The sequence below is a fragment of the Homo sapiens genome, chromosome 11 (genome assembly GCF_000001405.40).
Source record: "Homo sapiens chromosome 11, GRCh38.p14 Primary Assembly".
NCBI lineage: Eukaryota > Metazoa > Chordata > Mammalia > Primates > Hominidae > Homo > Homo sapiens.
In genome coordinates this window covers 111,449,225-111,465,630 of record NC_000011.10, presented here as the reverse complement: position 1 = coordinate 111,465,630, position 16,406 = coordinate 111,449,225, and the positions used below count along the sequence as shown (strand labels likewise).

Genomic DNA, 16,406 nt, shown 5'->3' with positions numbered 1-16,406 from the left:
GAAAGACTCTTGGGGATTGAATTCCAGCTGAACTACTCACTAGCAATATGATCTTTGAATACTTTCTTGACCTATCCAGGAGCTTCAGTTCCCTCATCTATAAGATGAGTAATAGTACATAGTTTACTGGGTTGTTGTAAAAAGTAAATGAGTTAATACATCTAAAGAGTTAGAATAGTATGTGGCATATTATAAAGCACTCCATAAAATTTTTATTCTTCTTTTGTCATTTTTTCTCTAATCATTTTAAAATGTAAAATCTTTCTTAGCTTGTGGGCCATGCAAAAACAGGTAGCAGGTTGGAGTTGGAGGTATGGAGTGGGCCATAGTTTGCACTTCCCTGCTCAAGTTCAGGGGTGTTCATGGTGCTGTGCTTACCTGGAGCCCTGCACTGTGGTCTACTGAAAGGCACACATGCATTTTCTGTTACTTCTCTTCCACTTGGGATGTGTGTGAGTTGAAACGGACCTGGCTCTTCAGGTTAGGAAAGCCACGTGCTCTCTTGACTTCCAATTCCAAGGAGTGGTATTGGTAAAGTGATCTGGGGTCCCTTTGGGGAGCAAGGTCTTCTCTTCGTTCATTTCTTCTGTTTTTTTCCCTTTTCATTTTTTCCCTTTCCTGCCTCACACCTTTACATTAGCTCCTTCTAACATGTGGCTGGCTGGTATGGGGTGAAGTCCCAAGATTTAGATTCATGTTTGATGGGGAAGGCAGGGGGCCTTTGGAAATTCCCTTTTGGAAATTTGCTCAGTTATAGTTATAAGGGTACTTTGATTCCTATTTGTTATTCCTTATATGGGAAAATCACTTGGGGAACTTTAGTGTGGGGGTAGAGAGAAAGAGATGTTTGGCAAGGCAGGATTCTAACATTCCTAGATCCCAGGGGTTACCCCATCACATACCTTCAGTGCCCCCCATGAGAATCCCAAACAGGAGCTACAAGGGAAAAGGTTACCTGGTTTGTGATACACTTATTTTTGCAATTCAGCTTCTTCCTTGTGGGCTTGGGACCAGATGTCTGTTTTCTTCAGGATGGAGAAGAATGGTGAAGTCCAGATGATGTCAGCTTTATCTGTATCCGAACAGAGGGGAATAAAATAGTTATTGAGGTGAGGGCCTAGGGTTGTGGCCAAAGCCAAAAGGAGCCAGCTGTAGCATTGGATGTGACAGGCAGCCTCTAAGATGGCCCCAGTGACCCCCTAATGTGTATCCATGCCCTTGTGTGATTCCCTCCCCTTGCATGTGGGTTGGATCTAGTCGTTCATCCAAATGAATAGAACATGGCAAAAGTGATGGGTTGTCATTTCTGAGATTGAGTCAAAAAGACTGTGGGGCTGGGAACAGTGGCTCATGCCTGTAATGCCAGCATTTTGGGAGGCTGAGGCGGGCTGATCACTTGAGGTCAGGAGTTCAAGACCAGCTTGGCCAACATGGGGAAACCCTGTCTCTACTAAAAATACAAAAAAATTAGCTGGGCATGGTGGCGCACACCTGTAATCCCAGCTACTCGGGAGGCTGAGGCAGGAGAATCACTTGAACCTGGGAGGCAGAGGTTGCAGTGAGTGGAGATTGCACCACTGCACTACAGCCTGGGCAACAGAGAGAGACTCCATCTCAAAAAAAGACGTTGGCTTCCACTTTGCTCGCCCTCTCTCACTCTCTGGCCTCCTTCCTCTGAGAGAAGCCAGCTGCCATGTTGTGAGCTGCCCATGAAGTCCATGGCAGGAATTGTTGTCTCTGGCCAACAGCAGGCAAGGACTTGAGGTCTGCCAATAGCCATAAGAGTGAGCTTGGAAGTGAATCCTCCAGCAGTCAAGCCTTGAGATGACTGCAGTCCTGGCCCACACCTTGAGTGTAGCTTGTGGAGACCCTGGGCCAGAGGTACCCAGCTAAGCTGCACCCAGATCCTTGGCCCAAAGAAACTGTGAGAAAATAAATGTCATTTTAAGCCATCAGATTTTAGGGTCATTTCTTACATGGCAATCAATAACTAATGCATTTGGTTCCTCTAATGTTCTTCCTAAAGAACCTACTGGGGACACACGCCTATGGTGCTGGGAATTCTAAGTGTAGCATTAGGACCTATTGAAATGGCCAGGATTGGCTGCAGAAGACAACGCTGGAATAGGGACCAGCCTGACCTGTTTCTGGCCTCTGATCCTCCAGCCCTGGAGCTCCTACTAGCGCTGCAGTGAGCTGCTTCAGGAATGGGATCAACAGGGGGCAGGTAGCAGCCCGGTCCCTGAGAGAAGTGGTGACTGTTCCATAGAATATGTCTCCAGGGTAATTCTCCAAACACACAGGGGTTCTTGAGGCAATCATCTAGGATGAAATAGCACAGAGTTCCATGCTTGGTCCCCACCTGTCCCACGTGGTTGCCTTGGGAGTCTCTTTCTGAGGCCCCCTATCAAAGATGGAAATACAGATCTCCTCAGCCAAGTCCAGTCCAGGGATCAGCACCTGGGTGTGCAACAGCTGGAGGCAGCTCCACTCCCGTCGGTACTGCAGCTGACCCAGGGCCTTAGCCAGGAAGTTCTGTCTCTCCCTCACCACCCACTGAAACTCATCAGAGGGACGCTGAACCACCTACAACACAGGGAACGTAATGGCCAAGTTAAGATGAGCCTTCTTTCTTCTCACTCCCCTTCTGGCACATCCAAGGTTCCTTGAGCCCACCTACCCCTGAATATTACATTGCCCTGAAGAGCCACATCTGATGATGTGGGAGGATGTGCTCATCACATGTGGGGACCCTTGTCAGCCTCAGAGCGTCACCTTCCTGGGGCGGTTCCAGACCTGTGGGCTCTGATTCCTGCTTTGCTGCAGCCGCATCTCCTCCTCCTGGCCCTGCAGCCGGCCAGCTGCTTGCCTAAGCTTTTCTGCTGCCTGCCCTAAACTGCAGGACCTTCTGCATACCTAGCACCACCTGTGCCTCCTGTTCCCACTCCTCTCTGCTGCAAATGGCAGAGAAAAGGCCACATGGCAGCGACCACCACCAGGGGTAGGGAGGAGAAGAAAAGACAATAGATTATCGGAGTCAGGGGAACCTGCAGGTAAGAGCCAGGGCCTGGCTGAGCCTGGGAGAGCTGAGCACATTCAGAGGGCAGGAGGGGCTCCCCACGGGGCAGCTATCTGTGGTGATGCACTCCCTGGAGATTTCTGCTGTGGGGATCTGAGCCTAGGAGATGCTTTCCCACCTTGAGAGAGCAGGCCCCGCTCTGGGCTGCTGTGTGTGCTCAGAGCCCTGGCTCTTCTCTCCATCTCCTGCAGGCAGCGGGACTCAAGGGCCTGGCAGGCCTCCTCTTCAGCCTTCAGCTATGTAGGACAGAAGGGACAAAGGAATGGGCCTCGGAGGGGAAGGCAGGAGCTCTGGGTGGGGCTCCTGTTTGCTTTTCCTCCCCTACCTCTGTCCTGCTTAGATACTTAGGGGTGACTGAAATCTTGGGCCTGGGGCTGGGGAATCTTGGGACTGTGTCTTTTCTGAGATGGATTTCATTCCCATGGTTGAGGGAGAAAAGGACTCCAAACTTTCAAAGAGAAAACTGTGCAATCTTGGCAGATGGGTGGGGACTGTGAGGTGGTGCCTCTGGGCCTCACCTGCTGCTCAGCGCCACTTTCTGCCGTGGAGTGGAGCTCCTGGCTCAGGTGCCCCAGCTGTTCCAGTAGCTGCTCCTCCTCCTGTTCCTGGTGGCACCAGTACTGCTCCTGGGCTCTCAACTCCTGCTCCAGGATGTCCAGCTACAATATCCAGCCTGTTTAGGGCTTACTGGCTTTTTCTGCTCATGGCCCCACGTGGTCCAGCCGTAGATCCCCAAAGTTTCACAGGGTAATGGCCCTCCCTGACCTTGGGTATCTATGACTAAACTTGGTGAGGCCATCAACTTGGTTTTATTTAATTAATTAATTTATTTATTTTTGAGACGGAGTCTCATGTTGTTGCTGAGGCTGGAGGGCAATGGCGCAATCTCGGCTCACTGCAACCTCTGCCTCCCAGGTTCAAGCAATTCTCCTGACTCAGCCCCCCAAGTAGCTGGGATTAAAGGTGACTGCCACCACACCCGGCTAATATTTTTGTAGAGACGGGGTTTCACCGTGTTGGCCAGGCTGGTCTTGACCTCCTGACCTCAGGTGATCCTCCCACCTCTGCCTTCCAACAACGTGGTTTTAGCTAGAAAAATAACCATACATTTTCTTCAAGCTCCCTGGTTCCTCCCTCCCTCCTGGTGACACCTGCTCCAGAGTCCCCCATGCCTCCTGCCCCCACTCCTCTCTTGGGAAGTCCAGAGGAGACAGGCACGTGGCGGCAGGAAATTGTTCTCACCCTCCTCATATCGTGAAGACATACTGACCTGTGAAACAGTGGTGTCAGGGCTAGAATTGAAATTTCTTGGCTTCTAACAAGAACCTTTTATTTATCACATACCTTTTATCACAGTTTCTGAAACGTAACCAGACTGAGAATGTATGGGGGCCCTAAATCATTTTCATTGTGGTGGAGATCTGCCAATGGCTGAATTACCGCAATAACCTCCTGACGGGGCTTCCTCTGCTAGTCTGGCCCCACTCCCATCCATCCTCCGCACAGCTGCCAGGGAGAGCTTTCTAGAACGCTGACTGTACCTACACATACATAAACATAAAAATAAATGGGAGGAGGTGTGCCAACTTGTGAAGTGGCTGGGTTTGGTGGGAGAGACAGGGGGAGAGGTAAAGAGTGCCTGGATGGGGATGCCATGGGGGTGTTGACTGTGGGTGGAGGGAGAGGAATGGGCAGGAAAGCTTTTGCTTCTTCATTGACATACTTTAAAATTGTATGAGTAACTTATGTTTTGTATTGTTTCATATTTTCAAAAATTTAAAGTCTTGCATTTATATTTGATTATATCCCATGTCTGAGAACCCTTCAGCAGCTCCCCGTGGCTTTCATGATAGAAGATACATTTCTCATACTTGCTGCCTTTGCATTTGCTTTCCCCGAGGCTGGAGTGACTTTCTCTGCTGTCTCTCTGCTGCGTGCATTACCTCATTTGGGAAGCCTTGAGCTCTCCTGTGTGTGTTGAGATGCCCTCCCCTGAGCTTTCTTAACACCCTTGTGAACCACCCACTGTTTGGGACCCATGGCCAGCCAGTTCCTTGGGAGCCCTATCTAGTTGTCCTTGTATCTCAATGCCTAACATGTTGCCTGGAACACAGCTCTCAATATGTAGTTGCTGAGTGAATGAATGAATGAATAAATGAATACAATAAACCCCCCTACATACCAGACCAGGGTCTCTCACTCCCCGAGGTAAAGCCTCCAGCACCTGGACAACGGGCACCACCACTCTGGCAGAGAGATCCGTTTGAGCTCCAATGACAGGACCAGGCTTTCTAGTCCAGGGGTCTATGGCTTGAGCCCCAATCGAGATTGGGATTAGACCTGTGGGATGCCAAGCCCACCACTGGCTTTAGAAACCAGAGATGGGGAAGGAAGGCAGGTCCTTTTTCTGGCAAAAAGGAAGCCAGAAGAGCCCCTGACCTCCTTTTGCCCTTCAAAGGGCTCTAAGCTGGATTATAGGGCTCCTGGTGGCCACAGCCCTGGCGTGGGGGTGGGTGGTGAGTTTCTGAAGTGCTGGTCTTTGAAAGGACCCAATAATCTAGGGGAGACATACATGATTTATGGTCCTGGGGTTTTGGAATCTTTGGGCACCTTTAATTTTGGGTCTCAGCAGCCCTAGCAGAAGACCAGAATGACCCCTTCCCTTGGCACATGGGTACCCCTCCTGAGCTTTAGGGGGTTTTCTCTCCCAGAGCTAAGTCACATTCCTGAGCTCTCAGAGGTCCAAAGTTCTCTCCTACCTTTGCCATCAGCGTCTTCCATTGAGCCTGCCAGCGGTGTGGCATCGCCAGAATTCTCATCATGCTCCATGCCCAGGATAGGCACCATGAGCCCCGAGCCCTCAGGATCTGGGATCTCCATTCCATACAGGGCTGGGGCCCACAGCTCTGTCCCAGGATAGCGCATCATTCCCAACACCAGGGGGAGAGGGAGTGAAGAGGAGGAGTTGCGGGTTAAGCATCACCCTGAAGTCTTTCCAGGTTCAAAGTACTACGTCCCTGACCAGAGAGGCTTCCCTGCAAACACTACATTTGTTTTCTTTAGGCTCAACTTAGCATTCTGAATTCAGAAAGGAAGAAAGGACAATGCCCTAATGGCCTGTTTTGGAAGAAGCAAGTGGGAATTGAGTGGCATCAGACCTTTTGAGAAGCTGAGAACAACTTCTAAAAGAAGGGGGCTTGTGTTCTTGAGCACCTGCCATTCCTCAGAATCTGAACTCAGGACTCTGTAGAAGTTATATTTCACTCAGTCCTACAACCCAAGCTATAAAGTATGCACAATTTTTTTTTTTTTGAGACGGAATCTCACCGTCACCCAGACTGGAGTACAATGATGTGATCTCAGCTCATTGCAACCTCCACCTCCTGGATTCAAGCGATTCTCCCGCCTCAGCCTCCCAAGTAGCTGAGATTACAGGCTCCCACCACTATGTCTGGCTATTTTTTGTATTTTTAGTAGAGACGGGGTTTCACCATATTGATCAAGCTGGTCTCGAACTCCTGACCTCAAGCAATCCACCTGCCTCGACCTCCCAAAGTGCTGGGATTACAGGCGTGAGCCACCGTGCCCGGCCAGTATGCACGATTTTACTCTTCCTTTTAAAAGATGGTAAAACAGTGGCAGGGAGGGGTTAGTTTTAATAACTTGCCCAAGGTCAAAGAGTTAATAAATTGTGGGGCAGGTCTTCAAACTCAAGTCAATTCTGACCTGGTTCTTTTTGTTTTGTTGTTATTTGTGGGAAGAGGGTAATTTCTAGAATGAGTGAGATTAACTCCAGGAAGATGCCACTCCTACTTCTCCTTGCCTTTCCTTGTATCAGGGCTGTCGGTGGGAGGTGGAGTTTTGGGATGAACTCCTTTCTTGCGTTTATTCGTGGGAAGTGGAAGACTGCTGCAGAATGAAGGTGAGAAGGGATTGAGGACTCAGGAGATTCAGGCTTTGCAGCTAGAGGACCCCAGCTGGGCAACTCATTTAACTCTCTGAATGTCAGGTTTCCCACTCTAAAATGGGTATCATAGCACCTGTTGGTGGTGTTTCATGAGCCATGAAGTAACAAGAGAATGTATGCTCCATAACATAACTCAATGGCATTGGCAAGAAATTAAGACAGGGAGGCAGTCAAGCACTCATGGGGTCGGGGTATGAAGTCATGGAGTTCCTTCTCTCTTCCCTTGGTCACGCATGTGCATGGCCAGTAGGGCTGCAGCCCTGTCCCTGAGCTTATGGGCCTAGGAGCATCAAAGCACCAGGTCATTCTGGGCCCGAGATATCGGGGCCTGAGAGCCTCTGGCCCAGATTCATCCATACCTATCCTGCCACCACTGGCTTCAATGTCATCTGCTGTCACCAGCTGCCTCTCCAGCCTCTGAGCCTGCTGCAGGACATGGTGCAGAGTCAAGGCCAGTGGCTGTCTCATGTCCTTAATGGCAGCCTCCAGAGTTTCCTGTACACCCGACTCTGGACTCTCCTGGCACGGCTGAAGCACTGCAATCACTTGCCTCTGGGCCACTAGCACATTGGTGTCCAGCAGGGCCTGTGGCCCTCCCATATGGGGCAATGTCTGGCCCTCTCGTCAGGAAGCCCCCTGGAGCCGGACTGTCTTCCTGCTCAGTGGCTCCACAAAGCTGTCACCAGGCAGCAAGAGGTTCCCCGAAGCATCTCGCAGCCCTCCCAGTACAAGTAGCTGAGCTGGAAGAAAGAAACCAAGGGGGCAAGGTGGGAGAGGGAACCAGCAGGGATGTAGGCAGGTGTGGCATAAGGGGAACTAGGGCACAAGGGTGGAAGTGAGCTGTGGGAGGGAAGGAGGAGGGGGAGAGGGAGGGGGCAGGGGGTAGAGCATGGTGGTGACAGGTGGAGAAATGGTCCTTTTTGGTTGAAAAGTGTCCATTAACTTTATAGAAGTACCTTGCTTCTCTTCCCCTCCCCAGGGGCACTGGAGTAGAGATGGGGAAGGGGAGAGGGAAGGTTGGGGGTAAGAGGCTGAGAGGATGAAGGGTGGAAAGAGGGTCGTGGGTGGAGTTTGTGGCTCAGATCAGAACATGGAGGGTGTAGGGGGCTGAGAGGAAGGGGACTGGGAGGCCAGGCCAGGCATGGAGGAGGGCGAGGGAGGACAATGCTGAGGGCTGCCGGGAGACCTGTGTTTTCATCCAACCCGACTCCCAGGATGGGCGAGATGCCTCCTGTGACTGGATCCTCCATGGGCCCCCCATCTCCAGAGGGGCCAAGGTCTTGGTGAGAGGATTGCAGTATGTCCTCCCAAGAGTGAGCCACTGCCTTGTTTGGGGGTGCAGATTCACAGCCAGCACGGGCACCTTGATGCCTGTGACGGGGTCTGTCATGAGAGCCCCCAGCGGGGACGTCCTTCTTGGCTGCAGGATGGGCAGGTGCGTGGCTGGAGGGGAACCTGTGGTGGGACTGGTTGGGTAGGGCACATAGGGCAGGATGGCAGCTTCTGATGTTCGGACACCACCTGGACAGGGATACAGGGAGCTGTTGGTACCCTTTAATGCACCAGCCTCCTTCAGCCCTGCAGAGCAGGACAGAGGGGCCTTGGGACCTGCCTCCTTTTACCATGCAGCTCATGGCACCTTCTGGATCCAGCAAGAATGTCAAGATGAGGAGGGGAAGGAAGTATTTACTACTCTGCTGGTCACCAAGCCCCACTGTCCAAGGAGAGAGCCCTGCGTCCTGTGCTGTGCTCCCTGGGAGCTCATTCCTGAGAGTCCCAGCAAGCCCTGCCTCATCTCTGAAGCCCAGAGCTGAGTTGGGGATAGTCAGTGGGCCAGGGGCTCACCGGCATTGGTGTCCATAGTGGGCACCAGGGTAGCTCTCAGCAGATCATATCCCAGGTGTCCAGCCTCGGGCAGCACCCTCCCAGTGTCAGGGTGGATGAAGTAGCCAGGGGGTATGGAGCCTGCGTGGCCGCTGGCTGGAAGCATCAAGGAGTTGGGGCCAGGGACCATCAACTTGGTGACGGGGTTCACACTGATGTCATCAGCACCAGGAGGGCCTGCTGGGGCTGCAGGAAAGCAATCATTGCCTGCTCAGCCCTGGGCTGGGGGCCGGTGGGAGAGGGAACATGCGGGGACTCCCTTGGCTGGTGACTGGAAGGAGCTGGTGAGAACTCCTCCCCAGCCTCCACAGACATTGTGCTCCTGAGGGGGCAGGGGTCTCATCTTTGCTAACTCCAGAGCAGTATTCCACGTGCCATTGTGATATCATTGCGCAGGCCGGCAGAGACTGGAAAAGCCTCGGGAAATGGTGGCAACAGCCTACAGGGGGGCTACGGGATTCCCAGGACTCAGCAGGCCTGCGAGACCCCAAGACAGGTTCATCATTTACCAAACTTGGCCGTTTGCCTTCATCTGCCAGGCTTTTATTTTCAGGAAGTGCCTCCGGATCTATAAAGCTATGACTTGCCATGGCTTTGTTTCTTCCTTGGTTCTTCCCACTTTCGAGGCTCCTTCTTCTTTTGGGCAGGCATTGCATGGGAAGCCCCTCCCGACCTTGGGGTGTCCGCTCTGTTTTGCCCTCTTCTACCTCTCCTCCCCTGCTGGGTGTCTGGGGGTGGAACTGGAGTTTCTACAGGGCTAGTTGCCCTGATTCAGGGCCAGGTTTCCTGGGGGGCCCTGGCTGAGGCCCAAGCAAAGCTCACCTGGCCTCAGTAGCTCCGCCCCAGTGCCGGTGCCCAGAATGCCCCAGGCCTTCAGGCGGTGGCCCTCCTGCAGCACGACCTGGGACAGGTGGCCCAGCACCGTGTCCAGCTGGGGAACTGCCCTGCAGGGGCACAGGAGCAATCAGGGGTGGGAAAAGGACGTTTTGTTTTGGCCAGTTCCGGGACCCCCTGCAGCCACATTCTCTCCTCCCCATTTCATGTCTCCCTAAGTCTGATCCAGGTTGGCCAGATCCACACTTTTCTGGGTTCTGCCCAGCCGGAGAGGATTTCTCTGACCTGGAGCCCATCTGTGCTTTCAACTGCTGCTGAACCTCCCTCAGCGTCGAGCAGAAAGAGGCCCACTGCTCCTGCCTCCCGAGGAGGTTTTGGCGAAGGAGCTTGAGTTGGTGACGAAGGCTGGCTGCGTACTCGCCTGCCAGGTGCCTCCTCCGGCTGGCCTTCTCTTCTGCAGCCCAGGCAGCTGCCTCAGCAGCCTGGGTCAGAGACAACCCTGCCTGCTCACCTGCAGGCGCTACAGCCACCAGGGACAGCAAGCTCGGGGACACCCCACTCACCTTGGGAACTCCAGAGTTATTCTGGACAGGCATGGCAGCAGCGGCAAAGGGGATGAGAAATTCCCAGAGATGGTGGGAACTGTAGGTAAGAGCTTTAGGGCCAGGGAGATGGAACAGGTTGGGGAGGTGCTAAGGGAGGGAGCCTGGACCTCAGTGAGGGGAGGGAGTTGTGTTTGGGCACAGAGACCAGAGAGGAAGGCGTGAACCAAGCCCACCTGCTGCTGCTCCCTCTGCACGCTCCTCAGAAGCCGGTTAGCGGAGGCTGGGAGGCAGCGCCTTGTTCCCCACAGCTGCTGGAGAGAACGGGCTTCACCCAGAAGTTTAAGGTAGAGGAGTTTGAGCTGTGAGAGAGGGTGGATTGAGTGTGTGTGAACTCTGTTCCCGGAGCCACCCAGCCTCTCACTGTTGTGATTGCAGCGCCCCCTGCTGCCAACAGCTGGAGAGACTCCAGAACCCCACCCCCCAACCCCCAACCCCCAACCCAGACACTTGGAAAGAGTGAATGAGGACAGACACTGGCTCGTCCCAGCCAGTCTCAGCATGCACATTCTGCTGGGGAAGCCCTGGCCCAGTTTTGGTACTTGGACTTCTAATGTATTCTTTTTGCTTCTAATGCCTGCCATCTACTGGCATAAATTTGCTCACCTAGTTGGGCTACCGAGGACTAGGGATGGAGATCTGAGAAGGAACTCCAATGGTGGCCTTGGTAGAATCCCTATTACTGGTCCGAAGCCCTAGGTTTCATGAAATCAGTTCTAATTTTAATCTGAAATCCTCTATCTCCCCTTCCCATATACTCTCCTTTATTCTGATTCCTTTAGGACTCTATGTTCCATATTCTTTGGACTCTATGTCCTATAACCAACTCTCCTGAAGAGGAGACTCTTTCTAGCCCCACATGTTCCTCCAGTCTTGGGTAGAAGTGTTGCCTGGAGCTGCCAGTTACCTCTTCCTTCGTGTGGCTGAGTTTGGCTGTCACTGACAGAGACTGCCTGAGGCAGTCTCCAAAGAAGGCCTCTGTGTCAAACCACTCCAGATCTACCTGCTCCTCAGCCTCCCAGCTCCCACCTGTGGGGGTCGGAGGGAAGAAGGATTATCCTCCTGAAATGCAAATATGAGCTTCCCTACAGATCTTCCATGCATCTTCTTCCTATAGAGCCTCAACAGTCCAGGCACAGTCTTGCTACTGAAAGTGTAGTTCTTGGGTAAGGAGCATCAGTGCTACTGAGGAATTTGTTAGAAATGCAGAATCTCAGGCCTCATCCAAGACCTACTGAAGCAGAAGATCCCCAGGAAATTCATATCTACATTAAAGTTCTAGGAGCACAAACAAATCCCAGTGTGGCTGTCTGAGGACCATGCTGTGAGTAGCAAGGATAGAAGGGGAACCCTTCAGTGTGACATACAATAAATACCTTCTGCAACTTGCTCCTCTAGATAGTACTGGTCACTGTGTAACTTGGCTGCTTTGTACACGGTTATACTATGTTTCTTTTGGAAAGTGTGTTTAGATGTCTCTTTCCTGCTCTATATTGCCTATGCCTAGTGCCCGGCAGTGTTATGACATACAGTACCACTCAGAAAAGATTTTTTGAGCAAATCAGTGGATGAATGAAGAGGAATTGAGAATTGAGCAATCTTGGAAGATGGAAAAAAGAAGCAGGAGCTGGCTAGTTGGATTTGGGGGTGCCTCTGGGATTCTAGCCCACCTGTCACTCACCAGGACCCCCCTCAACCCTGGGGGCGTCAGAGTCTTGGTGAGATCGGCCTCTCCTTATTGACATTATCCCAGTTCTTGGGGAAGTGTAGGCATCGAGGTTGCATTCTTGCTGATGTCTCCTGAAGGTGGGGTGGGGAGCAGCCTTCCGAGCCCAGCTCAGGCTGTGACACTGCATCTACAGAGTACATAATGGGGAGTGGGAAGGGAAGGGCGAGCTGAGGGAGCAGCATCCTTCCTGAAGACTCTGAAAGGAAACAGGTCGCACTTCACCGTGGTTAGGGAGCACCTCATCCTCTCTTGCTTGGACTAATTGTTTAGGTCTCTGTCGTTTTTCCCCCTCTGATCCATCTCTGTCCTCCACCCTACTGCTAGAGTACAAATAAAAGTTGGACCAGGTTTTCTCACTTGCTGAAAGTTCTTATCCCTTGCCTAGGGGTTAGAGTCCAAACTTCTTAGCAGGGCCTGGAGGCCATCCCATTTTAGTCTCCCTCCCAGTTCCAGCCTTATCCTTGTCCTCACACCTCAGCTCCAGTCATGGGAAACCCCGTTTGGTCACCAGAGGAGATGTGTGTTGTTTCATGCCTATGTGCTTGCTGTGCTCACAATACTCCCCTTCTCATCTCTGTTCCTCCTCCCCACTGCGTACCCCCTCCTCAACTTACCAACCCTCTGGTAGTACAGGGACCACATTATATTAATAATTCTCCTGTTTCAAACCTCATTCAGGCATCAACTCTTCCGGAAAGTCTGTCCTGACCTCCACCCTCTCCAGGGAGAACAGTCAACTCCTGCCTTGGTGTGCACCCTGGACATGCTTTAGCTAGCTCCATTATATTTGCTGACATGTATTTGTTTCAAGCCCTGGAGGCTTGAAACTGCACCTTTGTCACCTTTGCATCTTAGCAACTATTAGAATGCTTATCATAAACAGGAATGGAAGACCCACTTATAGGGGATTGGAGAGGTGGTCTTGTGGAGTGGTTAAGATGTCGCTTGTCTGGCTTTACTCAAAGCCCCAGGAGCAGCACAATCTCCCCCAGGAGTCCTGGCCAGCCAGACCTCTTCAGGGCCTGGGGGATCCTGGCGATGCCAGTCTGGATGAGATACCTGGGAGTTGTGGAGGCAAAGGGCCCTTCCCCACAGCACTGGCCCCCTGGCGGGAGGGCCCGGACATAATGGATGGAAAGAAGTCTGTTCAGTCTTTGTCCCACTGTCTGCCAGAGACTGGCCACAAGACAGAGTGGGACCCACGCCGGCCAACACCGACCAAATAGTTGGATGACTGTGTAAACCTGGGGACTGGGAGGCAGAATCAGAGTTTTCCTGGGAAACTTGTTCACATCAGATGACTCAAATCAGATGACTATCTGTATGAGGGAGCTGTGTGCATGTTCTGGGACTAAGCCAGTAAAACCTCTTGGATGTTGTGCTGACAGGGAGATACTAAATGCTGTGTGTGGCACTAACAGCACACCTGGATCAGTGTGGTGGTGCAATGTGCAGGTCACACAGATAAAACCATGCATAGGTGGGCTTGGCAGATGGGGGTCGGGGGGAGACAAAGTGGAGGATTGGGAGAGATAGCCAGAGGTCCTAAGCCGCTCAATGCCATTGATGTCCCTGAATACATACTTGTGTTCCCATCCTCTCAACCTTCCCCTCCTTGCACAGCACATGCTGGGTTGCTGTGAAATGAACTTTGGCATCCCAGGACCATCTGTTAGCATTGTGGGACCCTGAAACTGATAGGGACATCAGGGCATCTCCTTCCCTGCAGATCTGTCTGAGCTGGTTATGAGGCAGTATTTATTTTTTTTTTGAGACAGAGTTTCACTCTTGTTGCCCAGGCTGGAGTGCAGTGGCACGATCTCGGCTCACTGCAATCTCCACCTCCCGGGTTCAAGCGATTCTCCTGCCTCAGCCTCCCAAGTAGCTGGAATTACAGGCATGCACCACCATGCCCAGCTAATTTTGTATTTTTAGTAGAGACAGGGTTTCTCCATGTTGGTCAGGCTGGTCTCGAACTTCCGACCCAGGTGATCTGCCCTCCTTGGCCTCCCAAAGTGCTGGGATTACAGGTGTGAGCCACCACACCTGGCCTGCAGCAGTATTTTTTAAAGAGAGGGGAAATAATGGGATAATGTCTTAAATGAGGCAAATTATCGTAGACAAACCATCTTCCGATGTCGGTTGCTGCTCAGACGAAAGACATAAATGCCCGGCTTTTGGAACTGCTGCAGAAAGAGGCTGAGGCTTTGCTCATAGAGCTGGGACTCCTCAGCCAGGGCCCGGAAGCGCCGCCAGTCATATTGCTCCAGTGTGTTATAGAAGTGGCCCCTGAGGAGAGAGAAAGGAGGGAATACGTTGCCTTTGGGAGTGGTGGCTGATGCAGGGGCATTTCCTCTCTAGGGCCTCCATGATGATGGGGCTGTGGTCTCTGGACACTCACAGGTCATACTCTGGGTAATGCTCATGAGTCACCAGGAAGGCCAGGGTATCATTGACTTGGAGGCAGACTGTGGGGTTTCGGATGCCTGGCTCTGGGGGCAGCAGATCCCCAAGATGTGTGGAGTTGAGGCTCAGTGACCAAGAAGAGTCCAGATGTCCTTCCCTAGACTTTCCTAGGTAAGATTCAGAGAATGAGGGAGAGCTGCCACTCTTCAGATGGGTTTGTGCTGGGACCTGGGAAGGGTAGGGGAGGGATAGGAGGGGCAACAGGTGAGCTGCGATGCCCACCTGGATCCTGGTCTGGACACCTGGGATCCCCGAGGGGAAGGCCTAGGGAGTGTAGTAGCTCACCATCTGGTCAGGTCAGGCCCAGGAAGCCAAGCGCTAGAACAAGCAGGGATTCCCTCTGACCCTGCAGGGACCGGGGTAAGAGTTTTCCCAAGAGCATGTATATAATCAGCAGCTGTTCAGCCTGGTTTGCACGTGGTAGCTTCAACTTTCTGAAACATTGAGGGGGGTCAGAATTTGCATGCAGTTCTCAGGGAGCCCTCCCTAGGGGAGTGGTTGCCCTGTCAAACCTCAGCTTCTGGTCATGGGACAGAGCACACGCCCTGGTAAGGACAAGGCTTGCATGTGTGTGGTCCCGAGCCACAGGCCTCCCTGTGGCCTCCATCTGTCCAGCTCTCTTACCATCCATCTTGACCACATAGAGGGGGACAGACTTCTGCCCTAAGTCCAAGTTGCAGGGATGGCCCACAGCACGTGGTGGGGAAGGCTGGTCCAGAAGGTAAAAATCCTGGAAACGAAAAGAGGCAGTGTCAGATCTTCCCTCAAGACACGGAGTCACACACTTGCCCAGTAGGAAGGGAGGGCGAACACAGCCCCTTCCCTGAGCTGTGTCTGAGTGTCCTGAAAGGACACAAGGGAGGTGGGGGTGGGAATAGTTCCAAGAACTCCATGGGGCAGGGGCAGCCTGGAGTCATGACCTCTTGGACAGTGTCCCTCTTCTTTCATGAACACAATGACCTCTTATTCAAGGAGTTTTGTAGGATGAAATAAAATCAACAAAGGGGCCTTGCTCTGGTTCTGAGCCTCTGATGTTGGTGAGGTGCCAGTGATGTGGGCCAGGCAGCAGCAGCCTCTGGACCCTGCACATAGGCATGTCCTGCATGCTCCCTCTTTGGAGGCAGAAGTCACAGGCCCTGGCTCTGCATGAGGTAGGACCTCAGAGTACTGTACCTGACTCCCCATGCCTTCAGTGACAGAAATCTGTGGGATGCCATCAGGGCAGCTGAGCTGCAAGATGTGTCTCTGTCTCTCTGGGCACAGAGGGCTGCACATTCTGCTTGACTGTTGTCCCCAGCACAGGCAGAGCCCCAGGGCTTGGGTCATGTCCATGGGCATCTCCTGGTGTGGCACACACCTGCACAAAGACTCAAACTTCTTGGGGACACCTCCCTGGGGAAGCTCTTCCTCATTCTCTCCAGCTGCTTCTAGGAACTGCCTGAGAGTGCAAAGTACTGACCTCTATATTTCCAGAGAGGGGCAATGGAATGAGCCCAGTGGCTGGAATGGTGGACATTTGAATGGGAGGGTGGAGGGGCAGGAAGGCCAAGGACATAATAGATGGGCATTCTCCTACCTCGTGGGCACAGTGGTCATTCCACTGAGCCTTGGTCAAACATAGCCCCTCCTGATTCCAGTGGCTCCGTCCTTGCAGCTCCTGTGTTCCCACTGGACACAGCCCATTGGCTCTCCAAAGTCTCGGTGGCCCGGGAGGCAGGGGTACCGACTGTCACTGGGCTGGGGGCGGGGAGGGGGAGGGAGGAGTGCTGGTTCATGTTGGTTGGTTAATACTTCGTTGTGGTGAACCATGCCCAGGTTTTTGGCTGTGACCCTTTTGGAAATGGG

The 16,406-nt window shown here is 52.6% G+C and overlaps 1 protein-coding gene and 1 long non-coding RNA gene across 18 annotated transcripts in view; one reads left to right on the top strand and one right to left on the bottom strand.

The window, feature by feature from the left end:
* Positions 1-16,406, top strand: part of BTG4 (BTG anti-proliferation factor 4) — a 130,900-nt gene that overhangs the window by 49,095 nt on the left and 65,399 nt on the right. Inside the window, exon 6 of one of the 16 annotated variants that reach the window (XM_011542880.3) lies at positions 6,143-6,386. The exons of the other annotated variants lie outside the window; for them this stretch is intronic. Coding sequence (XP_011541182.1) covers positions 6,143-6,161 — 19 coding nt within the window. The 3' untranslated portion in view covers positions 6,162-6,386. Of the gene's footprint in view, positions 1-6,142; positions 6,387-16,406 lie in introns of those variants that run through there. 16 annotated transcript variants of the gene reach the window in all.
* LOC644277 (uncharacterized) lies at positions 12,086-16,293 on the bottom strand. Of its 2 annotated transcripts, XR_001748381.1 has the most exons (4): positions 16,138-16,293; positions 15,186-15,291; positions 14,222-14,384; positions 12,086-12,222 (listed from the first exon to the last, which is right to left on the bottom strand). It is a non-coding gene; the product is annotated as an uncharacterized LOC644277 (long non-coding RNA). The 2 variants fall into 2 exon arrangements; XR_001748380.1 differs by lacking the exon at positions 12,086-12,222 and having other exon boundaries at positions 14,166-14,384.